At 36.0% G+C, this 23,476-nt stretch overlaps 1 protein-coding gene and 2 long non-coding RNA genes across 17 annotated transcripts in view; 1 reads left to right on the forward strand and 2 right to left on the reverse strand.

The window, feature by feature from the left end:
• The window catches only part of FGF14 (fibroblast growth factor 14), a 691,640-nt gene that overhangs the window by 649,025 nt on the left and 19,139 nt on the right, over positions 1 to 23,476 (reverse strand). For 2 of the 15 annotated variants that reach the window (NM_001321946.2, NM_001321949.1), the window contains one exon: positions 6,617 to 6,785. The exons of the other annotated variants lie outside the window; for them this stretch is intronic. The gene's annotated coding sequence lies outside the window, so the exon portion shown is untranslated. The remainder of the gene's footprint in view (positions 1 to 6,616; positions 6,786 to 23,476) is intronic. 15 annotated transcript variants of the gene reach the window in all.
• Positions 1 to 23,476, reverse strand: part of FGF14-IT1 (FGF14 intronic transcript 1) — a 102,200-nt gene that overhangs the window by 67,509 nt on the left and 11,215 nt on the right. The window contains exon 3 of the long non-coding RNA NR_036486.1: positions 6,617 to 6,785. This is a non-coding gene — a long non-coding RNA (FGF14 intronic transcript 1). The remainder of the gene's footprint in view (positions 1 to 6,616; positions 6,786 to 23,476) is intronic.
• FGF14-AS1 (FGF14 antisense RNA 1) lies at positions 7,702 to 13,838 on the forward strand. Its single transcript, NR_125912.1, has 2 exons — positions 7,702 to 7,813; positions 13,596 to 13,838. It is a non-coding gene; the product is annotated as an FGF14 antisense RNA 1 (long non-coding RNA).

Here is a 23,476-nt window from a genome sequence, read left to right on the forward strand (position 1 = left end):
AATAAACCAAAATCAACTTTATGTTAAAAAAAAAAAAAACAGTCCAAGGGGAAAATAATTTGCTGTGTTTACAATTTTTTTCTAAGCCCTAAAAATAACAGAAGGAAATCTTATAGTATACAGAATAACATAGAATGAGTAGACTGGATTTTGAATAAAAATATAATTTCAACCAAAAAACACGATGATGTCTTTAAAACAAAGCTAAAGAGCTATAAATATCAGAAGTAGCTATAACACATAAAAATATGGATTCATTACTCATTTGCCCCTTCAGCCATTCTAACTTCACTCTTATTAAGCAATAATTAATACTACTTAAAGCCACTATCTTGGCATACACACAAAAAGGATATGCTATGTGCAAAATCCTCATTTGAAGAAGGATCAAGATCATCCCTTTCGTCAGCTTGTGGTGATTTTAAAACTATGGCATAGCATACAATTTCCAGATGATCTTGTTGGGAACAGTCTACATATTTGAAAATTAGCCTACAAAATAATTAAATTACTTGCCCCAAAATGTGTGCTACTTATATCTGCTCAAAGGTAAATAAACCCAAGCATGTTGATCTAGATGGCAGCATCGTGACTGAAAATTTTCCCTGTCATGGATGAGGTAGAGCAGGTTAAAAAGAAATGACAGAGCTTGACTGTGTCCATTAAAAATTAAGGAAATAATTATGAGACAAATAAAATAGTATCCCATGCAGTACTAGCTACTTGGTAAAATGATTACCCTTAAGAGATAGTACAAGATGAAAATATAAACTCTCAATTAGAGTTTACATAAATCACAGGTAATACCTCCACAGTAAGTTGAGAAAAATTAGCGAGAAGAATACAAACACCTTTTGAAGTCAATTTCAAGGAGCAAAATTATCAGACTGTCCAGTCAACCATTCACACCTGTCTGAGAACACTTCTTAGATGGACTTTTACCCTCAGTCAAAATACAATTCTTATGTCCTCGTGTCTTAACCAAGCCAGTTCCCACTGTATACTCCATTCTAAACACTGGACAGTACACATACTTGTGCGTGCACACACACACACATACACACACACACGAGCCACAAATTGCAAAGCAAAGAAGGCCATAAATTACAAAGCAAAGAAGGGATTAGATTGCTGTATCATTTGAAGGTAATTCTAAAATATCTCCCAGTGAAATTATATCCCTGTCTAAATTGGAGAACTTTAAAAAAAAAGAGTGCATGTTAAGATCTCCAGGTAAAAATTACTAAGCAAATGGTATCTCAGTGTCTTGATTGTAAATTAAAAAGTTATATAATACAGCAATATTAATTGATATGCTCTTTTTTGAGCATCTCATTTCAAGACAGACCATCAAATCAGAGCGGTTTCAAAGAAAAGCAAATGTCATCATCAACAGAAAGTCAGAGGCTCAGCACTCTTCACCTGGACTTGTCTGTGGTCCAGGAGAGGAGGTGAGCCAAGAACAGGCAGAATATTATTCACCTGAAGGACATCAAGTTGGAAAAGACAGCATGGAGAAGAACGGAAGTTAACCTGGCTTCAAAGCCTGATGCCCAAAATGTTCAAAACATTCAGGTGCCAAAATGTCTTAGGAAATGGTGCTTAAGATGTAGACTGGCCATGGGGATTTTAGGTCTCAGACTCCAGCCAAGCTGTGTTGGTTGTGAATTTTCTTTCATAGCACACGTACAGGCCAGTACTATAGGAATTTGTAACAGAATCCACTTCCAGAAATGCTGCTCTGTTTTCCCTGAATGTTTTCTGCACCGTTTGCCACTCCCTCCTTATTTGCCTTCCCTGCAAATGCTGTTGTTCTTCAGTTCCATGGTTTCAGCTATGAATTCATGTGGGATTCGTTTCCAAACTTTTGTCTTTACCTTTGAACACTATTTTGAATTCTAGACCCTTAAAACAACTTCAGATTTCACATCTTCCAAACTGAACCAATTGGATGTGTTCCTTGTATTCATTAGGTTATGATTTTAACTGATATAACAGAGAACCTAATAGCATTTGCTTGAACAAGATAGGATTTTTTTTTTAATCTCTCAAATAACAGTGTGGACATGAAAAGCAGTCCAGGGCTGACATGGTGGTTTCACGGTGTCAGTAGCCCAGTCTCCTTCAGTCTTCATTGTCTCTTGGTATCATGTCCTCTTCTCAATTTCCATGGCCACTGCCTTGGTTCAGGACTTCATCTTCTTATTTGAAGTATTGTCGTGCCCTTCTTCCTGGGGCCACTGCTGCTGGCAGTGTCCTCACTACTGCCAGAAACTGATGTGATCTGTTTGTTCCAGAAGACTCTAAATTCATTGCCATGATAGTCCAGGCCCTTATAATTATGGCCTGGGTTTAACCGTTTCATCTCCATTTCTAGCCACTCCTAACACTAGGTCACCCTTTTACAAATACTTTACAAGCTTTCATTCCCTCGTGATTTTGCTGGGACTGTACTTTCCTCCTCACCCCTATTTTATCCTTTTTCTGGCTCATTATTATTCAAGCCTATGTCAAGTATTATCTCATTTGCTGAATGTTATCTCCTCTATGGACTCTTCCAACTTCTCTCCACCAAACTGAATTCAGTAAATGTTTAATGAGCATAATTCAAGGTAAGGAATAGAGATATTGAGATAAATAAAAGTGCTTCTGCTCTAAGAGGTTAAATATTTAGCAGAGGAGATGGAAACTTTACTCATTATAATATCTTATCAACAGGATAACTGCAATATGAACAGAATGATATGGGGTAAGTTAATCTTGCCTGCAGGCAAAATCAGCTGTTACCTCTATGTACAATAGCACTTTGTTGACTTAGCACTTGTATGTTCAATAAATCTGTGTCTCTCTTTCTCATAAAATTATGAGTTTAGTGAGAACAGAACCCACGGTCCCCACACCACTATTTTATCCAATGCCAAAAGAAGAAAGAAAAGAATTTTATTTTGGTATTCATTTCTAAAGTCCATACAAGTATAGAAAAAAAAATCAAATTTTAAATAACGATTTTGCAGGGTAAAATTTTCAAAATCAGATTAAAATAATAACTATCTTTATCTAATCATATCATGAAGGGAAAAACTTACATGTTAATTAAATCCACATGGAAAAGGTTACTTTATTGAAGTGTTGAAAAAGAGAATGATTTACTTTCTATAGGAAAAAAACTCATGAAAAATAGTGAGCATGTTAAGAATATTAAACCATTAAGGCATAAAAACTGACTTGACTTTAATAATATTTCATTGTGGTAACATGAAATACAATAAAATTCAATGTTTTAAGCGATATACACATCTGAAAGAAAAATGTTTAAGTAACAAAGAAATCGAAATGTAATTTTGCACCAATCACAATTAAAATTAATATACTCTGAAATTCAAATTGAATGGCTAATCGACTTAACATTTAGATCAGTTGTGACCTCCAGTTATTAGAGTTGCTAATTTATTTATAGAGAAAACATACTCTTATTCACTGATTTAGAAAGAAAATATTCATTTGGGATGGCATTAATTTCCTCATTTTGCAAGGAAAAGAAAGTGATTCTGAGAGAGGTTGAGCAAGTTTCTGTATTTCACATGGTCAACTGGGAAATCAGAAATAGGACTCCAGCCTATTTGGATGAGATAAGAAGTATTAAGAGCTTTGTAAACTGTAAAGTGCTCTAAAAATGTAGGCATGGTACATGCTCAATTAGAACACTATGTGTTCCAGTACACCACCACTGCATTCCGTTAGAAAAGGCTCTTTTTCCCATAGCAGGATTCTGCCATTAAGATTAATGTTTATTATTATCATGCAAGAAGGAAAAACAAAAGGCATTTCTTGAACCAGAGAAAATATATTATTCTTTATTTCTCTAATGTGATGTCTCCATCATCTGCCTGTGACCGCTGTTGGGAGCTCTTTATTTGTCCTGTTGCCACTCTGAATAGTTTGATTGATTTCTTCTCTATCTGTCTTCCACAAATGTATAGCCAAGATTCTTTACCTTCATGTCTAACATTTAACAGGGAGGTATTTCCATTTTTCAGGGGAATGGAACTCAGTGCCCTGCAGGATCCGGTCAAGCATCTTTCAATGGATCTTTTCCTGAAGAAAGATCTTGACTACCATTTTGTTGCATTTGAATATCTTAGCCCCCAAACACACTTTCAGCTTCCTTGTTTGCACCTGAGATGGAGGCAGAACTAAGCTAACAATTTTAGATCATTTGGGTACCCAGGTACGTGGTTGTGGATCTGAAGGAAATTGTGTTATTGCTACTTTTTTATTATAAGGAAGATGCCGTAAGTGCCACTGGATTTTACACTAAACTTTTTAAGTCAATTTCAACAGGACAAATGTGCACATCTGTAATAATGCAATGCAATGATTTCCTTAGTGAACACTCAAATGATCAAAAGCACTTGTGCTGTAAAATATGTTTCCAGGCACCACGCTTGAGGTTTAAGAGCAACCAGGATGCTTTAGCATGACACTACTTTCATTCCAATTTGTTTTCATGGTTTTGAAATGTGTATAACAGGCCACAACTTCATGGTGGACTCAATTCAGCCTTAGAAGGTTGCTCACATATTCACAGTAACTCCAACAGTAGTGGGGTTCTTCTACAGACTGAGTTTGTTCAGGCAGTTTCAAATTCCAGCCCTCCCACTTTAGCTCTTCACTATTTCATGCTTAAGAGTATTTCCTATTTACTACTCCTGAGAAAAAAGGAATTATGGCAATTGAAGGACTTCTCAATAGACATTTCTATATATTGCCAATTAAATCCAACAATACTTACGAAGTATAAACAGATCTGACTTTAGATTATACAATGGCAGAGACAGACCTTGATGACAAAGTCTAAGCGAGTTTTCAACAAAAGGCATCCACCCTTCACTGGAACCATCCACAGCACCGCAGCCAGTGGTCAGAAACCACGGTCTCTCCGAACTTCTCCATTCAGTTCCTCTGCAGTTGAGCATCAGCACACAACACAGCGCAAAAACAACTGTCTATGGGAGAAATGTCCAAAAAACTGGAAACCGCACACATATGGGCGAGATGCAAAACTGTTGCTTAGTCATAACATCCATGTGGCCTAAACTGTTCAGTCTGACCTGTTTCCCTAAGTGGGATGCAGAGTTAGCCCAGTCCCAAGTAAGATTTTTCCCTTAAAAATTTACCTAACTTCCAACGCTCTTGCTATTTTTTGTCTTTACACCACTAGGTTTCTCCATTGTGGGAATGTAATTTTCCATGATCTAATTATTAAGCAGGACCATCCCTCTAATTTCGGCATCCTTTTGGTCCCTTGAGCCAGGCAGTCACCAGGGAGAAACAAAGTTCTTAAGCTCTATCGAGTCACAGCCCCTTTGAGAATCTCAAAGTCTGGGTCCTCTAATCGGGAAAGTCCACACACACACACAGCCTAGGCATGACAGGATAGCACAGCATGGATCCTAGAGGGCCATGCCTGGACAGCCAGTAGAGGAATCCATGGAAATGGAAAGATCTGAAGTCAACACCCCCAGATTCCAATTTTGGCTTTATCCTCGACTAACTATGAAACCTTAAAAAAATCAATTAGAATTCTTTGAGCCGGTTTCTTCATTTACAAAACGGCGATAATAATTCCTGCTGCAGCCACCCCTCTGGATTCTACTCATAAAAATTATTATGTATATCAAAATTTTGTAATTATATTTCCCCATGCTTGTTAAAGTATGACTTTTCATTAGAAACTTTTGCGTTATCTTTGATTCCTTGTTTTGCTTTGTCCACTAAAATCTGTTAGATGTTCCTTCACGGAATCTCTCATCAGTTCTCTGTCTCACTCACCTTGCTAAGGTCCTCATGTCTGAATTTCAGTCTCCACTTCCTTGGGGATCTCCTACTTCCAACCTGTTTATGTATATATGTGTGTGTGTGTGTATAGTTATAATTATAGTTATATATAGTTTATATATAGTTATATGTGGAAATGTATATGTGTCTGTATTTTTTGTATATGTAGACCTACAAAATTTGTATATGTGAATATAATATATAGTCACTATTTCCCTGACTTGGCTATATTTCTATGAGACAGCCATATTTCCAACAATAATATGTTGTTTGATCTAAACAATGTTCTCTCCACTGTCATTTGCCCAACTGTCAAAAAGTAAGCTAAGATAGAAAGTTTAGAGTGCATATATAGGAAGTGTTTGTTAATGGGGGTAGGGAGCAAATGGGCATCAATGGTTAGTGAAAAGGTTTTCATTAAGAAAATTTTATCTCACCCAACACAAGGTTATTAAAACAGCGATATTAAGAGAATGTTAAATCAAATAGAAATTGTATCCTGCTGCCTTTCACTGGAGTTCATAGACTACTGACTCGTACCCAGTCTTCCCCTCCTGGTACCCTGGGAAACACAAGATTGCCCAGCTTAGAGACAATCTCAGAAACATTGTACAACATTAAAGAGTAAATCATGAGTGACTGAAATACTTAAAAGCACAGTATATTATAACATGTCGTACCAGTACCAGTGGTCAAGATGCTGAATTATAATATTCCTTAAAACCATTATATTTGTAAACATAACCTGTTCTTTGATGAATGATCTAAGATTACTCACATAAAATGCTAAGGCATGGTATTCAGGACATGATGAAGCCTGCGACCTGCACGTGGATGTGGTGCTCACATGGTGGCTTCCTGTCCTGCACTGCGGGAGCCCCCTCTTTACACAATTATTCTCTCCTGCCTCAGCAGCAAGCACTGGCTGAAACACTGACCACATTCTCCTTGCAAAAAAAAAAAAAAAAAAAAAAAAGCGGTTACTTCTAGATTCTGTCTTCCTCCTGACAGTAAACTCTTAATAAAAATGTACTTGGCTTGTTCTTTCTCAAAACTTCACAATGTAATTTAAACTATAAAATAATCTCAAGCAGGTAATATCTTAAAACAGAAAAATACACATCTGATGGAAAGTAAATTTCAAAACTTCTCTCTTCTGAACTAGCAGAGTATATCATTTTTTAGTATAGACCTTCATACAGAGCTTGCCTAGAACTACAAGATTAAAGTAAATAATAAGATGTATTTAACTAAAATTTAATAACATTGTGTGGCAATTACTTTCTCATTTAGCTAACTTAAAAACTCACCGTTAAAAGCAGGAATTGTCCCAGAGTTGAGGGAAAAACACAGAGAAAGGAAATAATCCAAAAAGGTTTGTACTGTTATCTATTACCACATAATAAATTACCCCAAAACTTAGCTTCTTAAAATGGCAGTAAGCATTTATCATTTCACACAATTTCTGTGGGTCAAGAATTATTTGGGAGCAGCTTAGTGGAGTGGTTCTGGCCCAGGGTCTCTCATGAGTTTGCTGTTAAGATGTTGGCCTGGGCTCAGCCATCTGAAGGCTGACCTGGGTTGACTCACCCACTTTCGAGACGGCCCACTCTCATGGATGGCAAATTGGTCCTGGGTGTTGGCAGCAGGTCTCAGTTCCTTGCCATATGGGAGCTCCCTGGGGCTCCTCTAGTGTCCCCACCTGATGGCAGCTGGCTTTCCCCAGAGCAAGTGATCCAACAGAGAGCACTGACACATGAAAACACCACTGTCTTTTATGACCTAGTCCCAGAAGTCACACTTTGTCCCTTCTGCAATACCACACTGGTTACACAGGTCAGCTCTATTCACTGACAGAGGGAACAACAAGGGCATGAACCCCAAGAGGCAAGGATGACAGGAGCCATCTTGAAGGCTGGCGACCACAGATCCACACCTAACTCCAAACCACCAAATTACTCGGAGTGTGTGTCGGGTAAGATGGAGTAGAGGGCAAAAAAACAGATTCTTTGGACTGAGAGAGATCTAGTTTCAAGAACTAAGTCTACAGATCACCAAGGAAGTGATCAAGGATACATGATCTAACCTCTCTGAACTTCAGTCTTCTCATTTTTAAAATGGGGGTGACAGTGCCATGGCAGACCCAGTTGGGGTCACTGCTATCCATCTTCTCTCTCGCAATTCCCAGCCTGCCCACGGTGCGGTGAGCCCATGTGACTAGACCCCGGACGATGGACTAAGAGGGAAGAGGACGTGCCTAAGTTCCGGGCTGAGGCCTTAAGAACCCATGCACTCTTCTCCTGTTACTTTTCCCTGCGGCAACAAGCAAGGAGTCCTCATTCCAGGGAGTGTGACCGCATCGTGGTGCTAATTCCCTTCCCTTGGCCTCGACTGCCAAGGAACCACAGGAGGAACTGGCTTGGGAAGTCCCCTGGCATCAGAGTAAACTTTGTGTGAGCGAAAAATAAACCTTTATATTACTAGGCCACTGAGATTCGGGGTCTATTTGTTAACAAAGTATAATCTAGCCTATTTTAATTCACGTACATAAAATAATACTTATTTTGATAATTAAATGAGAAAATACATCTTAACTTCCTACACAGTACCTACATGATAGGGGTTTTAATATGTCAGTTTCTGTTCACCTTGTCTGAGCTTGTTTTCTCATTAGCAAAAAAATCGAAATAATATTCAACTCACAGAATTGCTTTCAAAATTAAAGGGAATGAAATACATTAAAAATCTTAACAGCCAGTAAGGAGTTAATAAATATTTAAGTTTCTTCTCCTTCTTTCCCTGGAATTATGACCACGGGGGGTTCAGAAGGTCTTTTTCCCCTCATCGGACCTTCTCCTCCTCTATATTCAAAGCTCCAGAGTCCCTGAGAAGCTAACATACTGAGTTTATTTGATAATTCCTGTGAAAATATCACATTGCCTACTTAAGACATTGAATGCAGCTGCATGACAGAAATGATAATAGCTTAAAAGATTTACCAATCCTGACAATAATGCCATGATTTCATTTCAGAATTACTCTAAATTAGTCATTATTTTCTTACATATAAAGAAAATGCAATTCCCCTTCTTTTGTAATGTTGATATTAAAGGCCCATAAATGCCACCTTATTCTATCAGGTCTTTTGTCCCATGAAAGGAACTATGTAAGATGTGTCCTGACTTGTGTCATCTCTAAATTTAATAGCATATAAAGCTGAAGTATAATGGATCCTTTGGACCTAAATAAACATGAATAATAATAATTTTTTAAAGCGAATCCAGCCATCCTGTGCCAAGTCATTACACTGTTTCACAGGACTTGCTCCAGAGAGATTTCATCATGAGTATATTATAACCTCTCAGTCAACAGATTAGTAAAACTTGTCTACTTCCTCACTGAAAAACTAATCATGTGTCTTTTCCATGCAAAACTGGAATCATTGGCCCATTTACATGCCCAAGTCACAGCCTAACACTAGAACACTGGCTGATGTCCTTTGAATGTGGTTTTTCAGCCACATGGAAGCTCCTGACACTTTTTGGTGTTCTGTCACTGTCCTTCATTGAAGGGCTCCCAGCAATGACCAATATGCCCACTGCAGCACAGAAAAAGTGGAACAGCATGCATTCTGCTGCTCTCCCTCTCCTCAACAAAAGTAAGACAATAAATTGCCCAGATCCATTCTGCTTTCCTCTGTGGTAGCCAAAGATATGGGGGAATGAGATGTGCTGTGGGAATACAGGTGTGGTGTCTCAAACTAATTGCCATGTGACAGACCAGCTTTGCCTCCTGTGTGCTCCTTATGCTGTGCAATCAATGTCTGTTCGATGCTGAGTCATGGTGACACAGGATCTGGCTGCAGACATTATCCAAAGGGATGTTACAATGTCGCACTTTCTCCCTACCCTAAGGCCACCTGCTCCTTACCTGTTCAAGGTTATCCATTGCTGCCTTAGAGTCTGGGTGTGTTTAAAGACCTCACACAAGACCTCATCAACTGGTGTGCCTCCCTTAATACACCCATGTAAAACTCGACTCACAAATAGCATTTGTGAATATAAAAATATACATGAACAGAAAAATAATGCATAGGAATATATAATTTATGTTACATTTAAATAGTACATTGTGTTGTATATAAGGTGATACATTTCTTGGAACAAGAAAGTCCTTACATATAAAGCATTACTGCTTGTTGCTTCTTTGTCTCAGGTTTTATGATTTTAATGCTGAGCGACAAAGCTAAAACTACGAATTCAAAGTCCACAATTTGGTCTGCCTCAGAATTACCCAGCATTGAATTCTTTAACTATCAAATAGAATAAATCTTTTTTTTTTTTGAGACAAGGTCTTGCTTTGTTGCCTAAGCTGGAGTGCAGTGTTGCAACCACAACTCACTGCACCCTCAACTACCCAGGCTCAAATAATGCTCCTACCTCAGCCTCCTGAGTAGCTGGAATGACAGGCATATGCCACCATGCCCAGCTAATTTTTTAAATTTTTTGTAGAGACAGGGTTTCACTATGTTGCTAAGGCTGCTCTTGAACTCCTGGCCTCAAGTGATCCCTGCCTTGGCCTCCCAAAGTGCTGGGATTACAATTGTGGGCCACCATGCCTGGCATCAAAGAACAATTCTATTGACACATTAAAAAATGAAAAGAACTATACATTATTATATTTTTATTTTTTAAATTTTTAGTGATTATGGGTACATAATAGATACATACATATATTTATGGGGTACATGTGATGTTTTGATACAAATATTTTTGTTTGTTTGTTATGAGATGGGGTCTCACTATGTTGCCAGGTTGGTCTTGATCCTCCCACCTCGGCCTCCTGAGTAGCTGGGATTATATGCATACACCACCACACCTGGCCATGATTATATTTTAAAGTAAATGATAACAATCACAGGGCAGAAGTTATCAAAGACAAAGGTTAATTTTGATAAAATCATTATGTGTCAGACAACTGGATTATTTTATTTAACTAAGTGAGATAAAAAATGGGTTTGCCAATGTGCATCCTGTTATTCTTATAATACCGACTAGATTTGTCAAAATAATAATGAAGTACAGACACACAAATGCACCCATCTTAAACATTTTGTGTTTCTTCTTAAATTGAACAAGAATGTATTGAGTACTGTTTGTTAGGAGAGAAACCCTGCCTCTAATGACCTTAAGGCCTTAAGGAAATAACACACATAGTTCACATACATGAACTATCCCTATTTTTTATCCTCATACCTTCTTCCGCATACCAAAAAAAAAAAAAACCAACAGAAAAATTGTTCAAATCCTAATAATTCTAACTTAGAAATGTCTTGCATTCAAGATCTCTCCACTTCTAGTGCAACTACACTATTCCTATTGTCCTCATGTATCCCATGAACTATTGCAATAATTTCTGGCCACGTGTTATTTCATATTCCAGGTATATTCCTGAAACAAACAATTAGGTCTTACCGACTTAAGGCCTCAGTCTTATTTAAAACCCTGTTGACTATACAATAAAAACAAAATTTATAACCTGATACAAAATGTTCTTCATGGGCTCCTCTTGCCTGTCTTTAAATCGAATCACCAACTCTGTACATTCTACCCTGTTTCCAGGATGCCCCTCCCCATGCCATCTTCTCACTGGTTCCAAGTCACAACAGGTTATTTCACAGGATGGGGTGCTGGGTTTGAGGGTTTTTTTATTCTTTTTTACTCATTATCTCTCTCTCTCCTCTGCCTAAAATAGCCTTATTCCCTTCTTAGCCAGCAAACTTCTATTCATCCTAGAAAATCCAGTCTAAATGTCCCTTCTCCAGTGAAACCTCCATCAGACTACTTTTTCTGGATCTCAGAAGCAATTCATTTCATTGTTATAGCTCTTGTCACGTTGCATTATAATGTCAATATTGTATCTGTTTCCAGAGCTGTATGATGAGCTCCACATGGACAGAGATTTGCTCTTATTTTTATACCCTTAGCACTAAGCACAATTCTTGGCACATAGAAGATCGATGTGCCAAGAATATTAAATAAGATGCTTACTTAATATGAATAAATGAATAACAAAGTAAATGCTTTACAAGTTTACAGAAAGGAGAATTCAGTGTGTTATGGAGTAATTAGGAATTGCTACACTAACATATATGTAAAATATATGTAAATAAAATGTACATAACAAGCTTTAAACAAAGAATAATCAAACTTCAACCCTGTTTAATTTCAGACTTTCTTTAAAAAGGATATACTTATACTATCACACATTCTCTTTAATATGCCTTAAGTATGTAGTTGGAAGATGCTTAGGTTCAAGATTCCCTGAAGTTCTTGGGATCAGATAAGTAGGAAGATGTTCTTCTATCTGGATCATCGTCTACTTTTCTTTATTGATATTAATTTGTAACAATCATATTTGTAGTATTTTAACCAATGAATCCATTTTAATGCTATAATTTAGTCTTTTCACTTACTAAGAAGTATTTCTCTCTACTTCATTCAAAAATAGTAATGTATTAGTCTAGGATAAAACCTGCCCAACATCTAACCCCAAAATTCCTACATAGCACGTAGGTAGGGGTTGTCAGATTTAGAAAAAATAAGAAACCTACAGGATGCTCAGTTAAATTTTAATTTCAGGTAAATAATGAATAAATATAAAAGTCCCTTGCAACATCTGAGGCCTATTTATACTAACAGAAATCTAGTTATTCATCCGAAATTCAAATTTAAATGGCTGTCCTTTATCTGGCAACTCTACAAAGCAGCAGACGAGAAGACTAGCGATGAAGACATGCCAGGAAAGTCTTGGTTGACGTATGCCACTAGAAAGGCTAGCTTTCCTGGTTCCCCAGAGAAAATCTAAGGGCGTCAACCATCCCCTATCCTCTATATTCTTAAAGAGACCCATGTTTACCCATGTGCTGTGGCATTAGGACTTCCAACAGGAAACTCATTTTGGTAAAGGAACAATCTAAGATCATGTCTCAGAATAGTTTTTTTTTTATAAAGGAGCATACAGATGATGTTCTCTACAGAACTAGTCTCAGGACTTTTTCCTACCACTGTCAGGAAAAACAAGAAAATGTATCGTCATTGTAGTCTGCCCAGCAATGCTGGTATTCCAATGTATCACAAAATTTAAGTCCACGAGCCCTTTCTACAACGCAGGGGCTACTGTGAAGCTTTATATGCATTACTACTATAAATCTTCATAACATTCCTACAAGATATATGGCATTCTTTCTACTGTAAAAATAGGGAAACTAAGGCTGAAAATAATAATTTACCCAAGGCTACACCATGAGTAGGAAGGGAGGTGAAACTCAAACACAGCTCTTAAGACCTTAGAACTACTTAAATATTTATCAGTGATGTTATATATTGACTTTTCGTACCCAGGTCCTACTAAAGAACCAAAAATGTAAAGGTACTCAAAAGAGCTGTCATACAGGTGGATGGTCTCAGGACAGATAAGTTCCTAAGCAAGAATACAGGCTTGCGTGTTTGTGTGTGTGGTCACATGGCGCTTCCTCTGAAAATTCTTCTCTAAAATCAAAGAGCTTTACAAAATCCAAGCCTTCACTATTCCACTCAATTTTTTCAGTATATTTGAAATTTTCTACATGGTAAATTACCTTCCTGTGAAGCTAGCACATTTCTGAAAGTGCCTAACTTTTAACTATAAACACTGTAAGGTAAATATGTAAGGTACATGTAAAAACAAGTCTGCTCATCCCTTCTCTGTTTCCCCAGGTTGCAGAAAATGAAATGACCATAATAACTCCAAGACAGAGCAGAAGGTTCATCTGAGTCATACCAAATAACTTCATTGCTGCTAAAGTAAAATTTGAAAATGATTGAAGTGATTTTTATGATCAGCCTTTTGGAAGTCATTCAAAAGTGCTGCAATGCTACTTCAAAGAAGATAATTCAAATTTAAATGTCACTCTTCAGTGTTGTTTATCAACAGCTGAGTATTAAAATTGGTGAGCTTGATTTGTGTTATTTCACTTCACCAGCTTATAATTTAAACACTCTTATACTTATTATTTGAATAAATGGAATAAACACAAGTCAAACTTTGGTAGTGAGGTGCTCATCTTCAGAGGAGTTCAATTAGATTGGAAAAACATTTTGTAGAGATCTTGTAGAACAACAGCTCTCTACCTTGAATGCACACTGGAATCACCTATGGGGTTCTAAAAAAATATCAATGCTTAGGTCTCACCCCTGGAAATTCTCATATAATTGGGCTGAGGTGGGACCTGAGCACTGAGATTTTTAAAACTTGCCAACTCATTCTAATATACAGCAAAAGTTGAGAACAACTGCTACAGAAGGAACTCAAGCATTGGATGGAAAGCTGGAATAATGACATTTCAGGATCCTTTCAACTCTGAAAGTCTATGTCTAATTGTACATGTGACCCTACTATGACATCGTACTAAAGCAGACCTGAAATGTCTTTGGATATACAAATTAGGAATACATCGTTACAGTCATTCTTTCTAGATGTAGTTTCAAAGTACAAAGAAGATGCTGCTATTATTTACACTTCTCTTTCAAGTTCTGATTATCTATTGAAGAGACCTTAAAATAAACAATTTAATCAATTCAATTATTAAAAATATACTGAGCATCTACTGTCAGCAAAACACAGTACCCACAAAAATGTGGGTACTGAACATTTATTAATGAGTAAGCCAGAGTCAGATTTTTTTGGAACTTACAATTCAATGGGCACAAATGGTTGTACTACAAAAGTAAGGGGAGTATGTTTGCAGTCTAAGTGCATGATGGTTCATTTAAGTGATTATGTTCAGCTGTGAAGTAGAAAGGCTGGCAGAAGTATTCTTTTTATCACTGCAAAAGTCCATACCTTATTCACTTTATTGAAGAATAATAAATGTAAAAGTAAATTTTAAAGTTTCAGGTGATATTTCACATATTTTTTAATACATATCTTACATATTTTATATATATATATATATATATATATATATATATATATATATATATATATATATGTCAGTAAGCAGACGTGTCAGATTCTTTAGCCTTACTAAACATTCACCAAAAGGAATTACGTTATACAAAACCAAATCAATTTCTTCTGGTGGTTTTTCAATTAAGGGCTAAAGTAAATTTTTAAGTGATTCAAGAGATATAGGTAGTTTATGCAATTTTAACTAAATTTCCAGTAACCTGAAACAATTTCATTAAAATACAGGCTTGCTAGTGAATTATGCTGATTCTGCAAGATAAAGAATATGTGAGATGTGAGAGAATTTTGATTAATAAATACACATTTGCTAAATTCTGCTTTGGTTGACTAAACTTTTTGTTTGTTTGAACTAAACAAAACAGAGTTCAAAAAGGCAGAGTAATGTAACACAACTAGTTAAAGGGAGACTTTAGAAAAATGAGCCATAACATCTGGCCAATCATTTCAGCTCACTGTACCCAAATGGAACTGGAAACACACAGTGATAGGAAAGGTCACTCATGCTGGTAAAAAGTAATACCTCTGCTGCCACAGTTACACCCCACAAATGAAATCTACATCCATATTGTCTTAATCTTCACTACTAGGCAGGATCGATCCAGGGGCAGGTGCTCAGCTAGAGCCAAGATTAAGTATTTTGTGCTCCTGTATCCTGATTTCTAGCACAGTGTACAAGACACAGCGGTGATCAAATCAGCCAGTATATAGTGTAATACAAATAATAAAATGTTTTAACTGAAAGCATAAGACTTTGTAGTAAATTAATGACTGGAAATCAACTCTTTGACTCAATTTATCGTTATTTAATAACGTTGTAGAAGACTAGGCAAGGCTTTACAAATAAAAAATTTAAAATCATACATATAAAACCCACCTTCTGAGTGAAATAAAATAAATACTCGAAATTCAATAAATAAGACTGCTTATATGGGAGGCTACAATTTTAAATATAAACTTTAGTTCCTATTTTAGGTTATATCTTCCAAATTCCAGTAAGGAAAAATATTCATGAGAGTTTCTTTTCATGCAAGAAAAAACAATTCTAGTCTCAAGAGAACCCAAACCCAAATCAGCAATTAAAGTATCAATAAAAGCTATCTGCCTTGTTTGTTTTTCCAATCTTGTTCCTTAAAAAGATCAACAACAAATTTAAAACTGCACATGTAAAATCAAAAATCGTAACCAAAAGAATAGGATGTACTAATATATATTTTCTTTGAATGTATCTTCTTGAATTCAAACCTAATTGAAATGAAAAAACTGTTAATTTTGAAGCTGTAGTATCTAGAGTACATCTCCACATTGACATCGAAATTTTAAGGAATAAATCTGCTGGTTCTACTGTCAATAAAAATGCGTGGCTGGGCCTATTATTTCATTAACTATTGGAATCTGTAAGCACCCTTGATATGGTTTGGCTGTGTCCCTACCCAAATTTCACCTTGAATTGTAATAATCCGCATGTGTCAAGGGCAGAACCAGGTGGACATAATTGAATCTGGGGGCAGTTTTCCCCATACTGTTCTCATGGTAGTGAATAAGTCTCACGAGATCTGACGGTTTATACATGGCAGTTTCCCTACACAAGCTCTCTTGCCTGTCACCATGTAAGATGTGACTTTGCTCCACATTCACCTCTGCCATGATTATGAGGCCTCCCCAGCCATGTGGAACTGTGAGTCAATTAAACCTCTTTCCTTTATAAATTACCCAGTCTCAGATATGTCTTTATTAGCAGTATAAGAACAGACTAATACAACCCTGTTCTGTGCTCTTTTCCTTCCACTGTCTGCCTCTCCTCCATGCCCTCATTCATTCCCAGGTTTTCAATTAGCAGTCAGACACTGATGATGTCATCATGGCTTTTATAGCCCAGGCCTCCTTTGTGAGTAGTATACACAATGGTCTGGTCTACAGCTCTCTAAAAGACATTTCCTTTCACCCATTGCCTCTCCTGGAAAAAGAAAACCCTCGCTATAATTCTGTAACATTCTAAATAATAAAATATCCAAGGAAGTATGAAGTAACTTTAAATGAAGTTTAATTGCTGCTGGGATATTAAATATTCAATAGGAAATCAATTATTTAATTAGTTGATTGACATTTTGAATCAGGTCATCTTCACTTGCAAGTTTCTCTAAACCATATTCTCTGAGCACATTGGAATTCCATGTTTTCCAATGATATTCCCAAGAAAGGGAGAAGTTTGTTGTTTGCTGTCACTGGCACAAGCCCATGGGCACCAAGTGTGAGGAACAGCCCCAGTGACCTGAAGCCTGCAGTGAGAAATGCGCTTATTGGGCCCAACTTCTCTACCACCCAAGACAGGATGCTTATTGACGGAGCAGAGAGTTTCCTACAAGGTCCTTGAAAAAGGCAAATTCAAGCTAGTCTTCAAATATCTAGGTCACCTTTTTTTTTTTTCCTAAGAAAAAGAAGTGAATGACAGAGCACAAAGTAGTCAGGTAGGAATAAAGGAAAGGCTACAATTTGCATGAATATAAAAAATTGACAGGACAGGCTATTTATAGTGTTCAGGTGTGAGCAGAATCACCAATAGCAAAGCTAAGGCTTAAATACTTAGTTTGCTTTAATATGTGCTTTGTTCATTTATAACTAGAGTAAAAAGCATCAGAGAATGGGAATGACCATAAAATTCACCTCAAAGTTTTTGAGATATTTATTTTTAGGTGTAAATAATTAGGGAAGAGAATAGTAAAAATGAAGTGAAATACATACATTATAAAAGTCTAGAAAATATTTTAAAATATCCATTTTGGCATATACACATGACTAATATTAGAGTACATACAAGAAAAGCAGGTATCTTAATATTCTAGCACAGATAAAGGGCCAGGCGCAGTGGCTCACGCCTGTAATCCCAGCACTTTGGGAGGTTGAGGCAGGCAGATCACCTGAGGTTGGGAATTCAAGACCAGCCTGACCAACATGGAGAAACCCCATCTCTACTAAAAATACAAAATTAGCTGGGTGTGGTGGCACATGTCTATAATCCCAGCTACTCAGGAGGCTGAGGCAGGAGAATCACTTGAACCCAGGAGGCAGAGGTTGCAGTGAGCTGAAATCGTGCCATTGCATTCCAGCCTGGGCAACAAGGGCAAAACTCTGTCTCAACAACAACAAAAAAATTCTAGCACAGATAACTTGACAATTTTCTTTACAATTCAAGAACAATATAAGACTTCAGAACTGTCTGTCTATAGCCAGTCTCACTGTAGGCAAAACACAAACTGTTCTAGGCTTCTTTAGGTCCTAAAGGCTTGCAAATCAAGAACTCGTTAGGCCTACAAGGTACAAAAGAAGACTCAGTGACAGAACAAGGCTCTTACTAGGCCTCTAATATGTCTACCTTCAAGCTTAACTTGGATACTTTTAAAAAGCACAAGGATTTTTAGGGCAGTGAAGATACTCTGCATGATACTATAATGGTGAATACATTATATATTTGTCTAAACCCATGGAGCACACAACACCAGGAGTGAACCCTAATGTAAACTATGAACTCTGAGTGATGATGTGTCAGTGTAGACTCATCAGGTGTAACAAATGCACCACTCCGGTGTGGTATATTGGTAATGGAGAGGTGATGGATCTGTGGGGGCAAAGGGTATAAGGGAAATCTCTATGTCTTCCTTTCAGTTTCACTGTAAACCAAAAACTGCTCCAAAAATATAAAGTCTTTAAAAATTAAAAACTTCATTGATTTATAAGCCCTATGCTACTAGCTATAGGTAAAAGCTTTAAAATACTATACAAATAAAAATATTAATTTCAGCATAGATCATTTACCAGAGAACGAAGGAAAGAAACTAACATTGTTTCTGACAAGGAAATGGACAGGCAAGAATAAATAAATATCTACATTCTAGGTTTTACATTAAGTATGTTATATATATCTATATCTATCTATCTATCTATCTATCTATCTATCTATCTATATATATATATATCTTCTCTTTTAATCACTACATATTTAAAGGCGGTATTCTCCCTCTACTACCAAAAACAAAACAAAAAAACAAAAAGAATCCTGAGGCACAGAGAAATTACAGCTAGAATTTTCATCTTTAACTCCAAAGTTCATATAGTGCTGTCTTTATCAATAAAAAAAAGCAACAAAAATGATTTTTAAAACAGACGACTATCTAACAATAATTGCAAAGTAAGACAATGAAAACACAGAGGCATTTAGTGGCCTTTACACAGGGTTACATAAAACTGGCCCATCGATATCAACAGGATTGGGCACACTTTGACCAGTACAAGCCAAAAGAAGGTACGATCATCTGTCTAGGAGTTGTACCAAAAGCTCTGTCCAGCCTATGAAGGAGGACATAAAAGATTGAGCTTTTTCATTCATTCTGGAGGACACTGTCTATTAAAGGGAAATACCCAGGCAAATCGAAATTCCAATTTTTAAACACTGTATTATTTAACATTATAATAACATCATCAAAAATCTCTATAAAGTGGTTATTTGTACTGAAAGAGCTCTACTTTCAAGTTTGGGCTAGAGATATCTAAATTAAAGGCATTAGAAACATACCACTATTATTTTCAAGGAAATCAATATTACTCTAACTACATTCATTCAGCAAACCCACAAGGCATCAAGCAGTATGTCTTGACACTAAAAGTAAAGAAACAGCAAAGGTACATATGTTTTATTCTCTACATTTGATTTACCTGTACACTTAGGTAACATAGATATACACATACACACACACACACACATATTTATATATATGTGTATGTATATATATATATACCTTTATATATGGGTGTGTGTATATATATTTTTAAACTTTCAGTTTAAAGTATATATATATATACATACACACAAACACACATATACACATCCAATATGCAAAGAGAGAAAGAGAGATAGTTCAGTGGTCAAACATTTACTATGTTTCTGAATGTAACACGTGCATATAGATTAAGGCAAAAGAACACCTACATCCTAACAGGTTCATGTTAACAAGTCTACCTCTTCTAAAAGGCCAACTTTGTTTACTTATCTAACGAGTAAACAAGTTAGAAAGGTAAAGCAACTCATCTCACATAATTGTACTTTTCTCTGGCAATGTAACTGAAAAGAAAATATTTTTTGCTATCATAAAACAAAAGGTTTATCTTTTAAGAGAAAAACTGCCATATTCCTTAAGAAAATAAACCAAGAGCCTCCAAAGTTTTCACTGGAAAGCCAGCTAGGTCTCTGAAAGCCTTATTCAAGCCTCCAGAGACTCATCTTCCCCTTTAGATAGCTCACTAATGATGGCTTCAAAAGAGAGAATAGTGAGTGAGGCTCTGAGTTTAATACTCTCTGAATTTAACACTCTGGTTTAAGCAAAGGTAAATGTCCCTTTTCTTAATTTCTCAGAGCACAGCCAAGGCAAGGCTGAAATCTTAAATGCAAGATAACCAAATATTTAGATATAATACAAAGGAAGTAAACATAGAATGTCATGGAACTGACATTCCATGGAACTGACATTACATGGAATGTCATGAAACTGACATTCCATGGAACTGACATACATGGAACTGACATTCCAAGTAAACAGAATGTCATGGAACAGGCATATAGTTTACCTGTTTTCAGTTTAAAGTTCAGCACGAGTGCCTCCCTATTCAGCTCTAACCTGCCCCAAATGCCCAATTATATCTAGCAACTTAAATATCCAAACCCAAGAAATGTATGAAACAGAGCATGAAGTCCCTTTTGCTATCTAGTTAACTCCCAGTTTCAGGGTTCAAGTTCATGGCTGCAACTTTCCTCAGATGATTGACCCTGAGAATGTCTAGCTACTTCAGGAGAGGCTCTACCTACTTATGATGACAGGGCTTTAATCTACTCAATCGGGTATTTTCCTAACAAAGCACAGAGAGCTGCAGCAGGAGAGGCTGGTCTGTTACAACTTTAGATTACATTCAAATCAAGGAATGTTTACGTTTTGCAAGAGACATTTAATAAAGAAACCAGGATAAATTTAAATACAAGAAGTGTAATTTACATCTCACAGTGAATCCTGACTTTCATTACATTTAACTTTAAAACTAAGTAGACAAATTAAAAGTAAATATAGCACCATATTGTCAGTGTATTAATGAAATGCCTATGCTTTGAAAAATAAACACAGATAAAGAGTCAGAACCATTTTTAATCAAAGATAAATATAGCTGCTCCTCAACTTATAATGGGGTTATGTCCCAATAAACCTATTGTAAACTGAAAATACTGTAAGTCAAAAATCCATTTAATACACCTAACCTACTAATCATCTTTACCTTAGCCCAGTCTACCTTAAACATGTTCAGAACACATATTAGCCTACAGTTGGGCAAAATCATCTAACACAAAGCCTATTTTATAATGAAGTGTTGAATACCTTATGCAATTTATTGAATATTGTACTTAAAGTAAAAAACAGGATGGTTGTATGGGCAGTCTGAATGCATATTGCTTTCATACCACTGTAAAGTTGAGTAATAGTAAGTCAAACCATTCTAAGTCAGCAACCATCTGTACATAAAAATTGCTCACTCCATTATCTACAAATAGTCTAGTGTTTGCTGTGGTCTAAATGTCTGCGTTCCCCCAAAATTAATATGTTGAAACCTAATCTTCAATGCAATTAATATTAAGAGGTGGAGCCTCTAGGAAATGATTAGGTCATGAGGGCTCTCCCCTCAGGAATGGGATTGGTGCCTTTGTAAGAGAGGCTCACGGAAGATTGTTCTTCCCTTCTGCCATGTGAGGATGCAGGAAGTAGGCACCATCTTTGAAGCAGAGAGCAAGCCCTCACCAGACACTGAATTTGCTGGTGCATTGATCTTGGACTTTTCAGCCTCCAGAAACATGAGAAATTAATAAATACCCAGTCTAAGGAATTTTGTTATAGCAGCCGGAATGGGCTAAAACATGTTCTAGTTTCAAGAGGATATTAATTTCTTGAAAGTGCTTATATGTTTCACAAGAGTATTAATTTTTTAAAAGTTCTAAGTAAAGCTATAGTAAAAGTAGGCATGCATTGTTAGAAAAAATGTTTACAGTATCCCTATTATCATTTCATGTAATATACAATAATTTATTTCTTTGAAACACCAGGACATTTTTAGAGTGTTCTTTGGTAAAACAAATTAAGAATGGTAAAAAGGTATTTTGGTTATATGTCAATTCAAAATGAGATTTACATGTCCCATGAGATTATCAACAAATGTTCCTTGAAAAATTAGATGTCTACAGGCACAAGAATGAAGTTGGACCCCTACCTCACAGCATCTACTAAATTAAGTCAAAACAGATCACAGACCTATATAAGGGCTAAAACTCTCTAAGAAAAACTTAGGACAAAATCTTTATGATCTTGGGTTAGGAGATCATTTCTTAGGTATGATACCAACTATGTAAGTGACAAAGAATAAACACATAAACTAGACTTCAACGAAATTAAGAACTTTGTGCTTTAGAGGACACCATTAAGAAAGTGAAAAGAAAATCCACAGAATGGGATAAAATACTTCTAAATCATATACCTGATAAGAAACTTGTATCTAGAATACAAAAAGAGCTCTTACAACTCAAAAATAGAAAGACAACCCTATTAAAAATGGGCAAATAATTTGAGTAGACATTTCTCCAAAGATATACAATTGGTCAGTAAGCAACTAAAAGATGCTCAACATCATTAGTCATTAGAGAAATGCAAATCAAATACACAATGACATACTTCACAGCCACCAAAATTACTACTATCAAAAAAACAGATCATAACAAGTGTTGACAAAGATATGGAGAAATTAGAACCCTCATACATTGCTAGAGTGAATGTAAAATGTGCAGCTGTTTTGATAAACATTTGGTAGTCACTCAAAATGTTAAACATAGATTATCATCTTACCTAGTAATTCCATTGCTAGTTACATACCCAAAAGAATTGAAACATATGTCCATGTAAAAATGTATACATAAATGTTCATAGCTGCATTATTTATAGTAGTAAAATAATGAAAACAACCCAAATGTCCATCAACTGAAGAATGAATTTTAAAAAGGGGTATATCCACACAGTGGAATACTATACAATAATGAAACAAAATGAAATATAGATTCATGCTTGAATCTTGAAAACATTACTCTAAATAAAAGAAGCCAGATATTGAATGATTCCATTCTTATGAAATATCTAGAATAAGCAAATTCATAAGACATAGAAAGCATATCAGTGGTTGCCAGGGGATAGGGAATGGGGAAATAGAGAGTTACTGCTAATAGGTATGGGATTTCTTTTTTAAGTTGATGAAAATATTCTAGAATTGGATAGTGGTAATGGTTGCACAACTATGTGAATATACTAAAAACTATTGAATTGTATACTTTAAAAGGGTAAATTTTATGGTATATGAATTATATTTCAATAAAGCTGTTACAAAAGTGAGATTTATAACTCAATCTGGGCTTAAGAAATGCAATTACAACTAGAATTGTGATCAATTATACCAATTATTTTAGATTTCTTACATAAAAATATGTTATAAAAATAATTGTTATATCAATTATTTTAGATTTCTTAAATAACAAAAAAGTTCTTTGAAGTTGTGTTAG

Source organism: Homo sapiens, chromosome 13 (assembly GCF_000001405.40).
Source record: "Homo sapiens chromosome 13, GRCh38.p14 Primary Assembly".
NCBI classification, from domain to species: domain Eukaryota; kingdom Metazoa; phylum Chordata; class Mammalia; order Primates; family Hominidae; genus Homo; species Homo sapiens.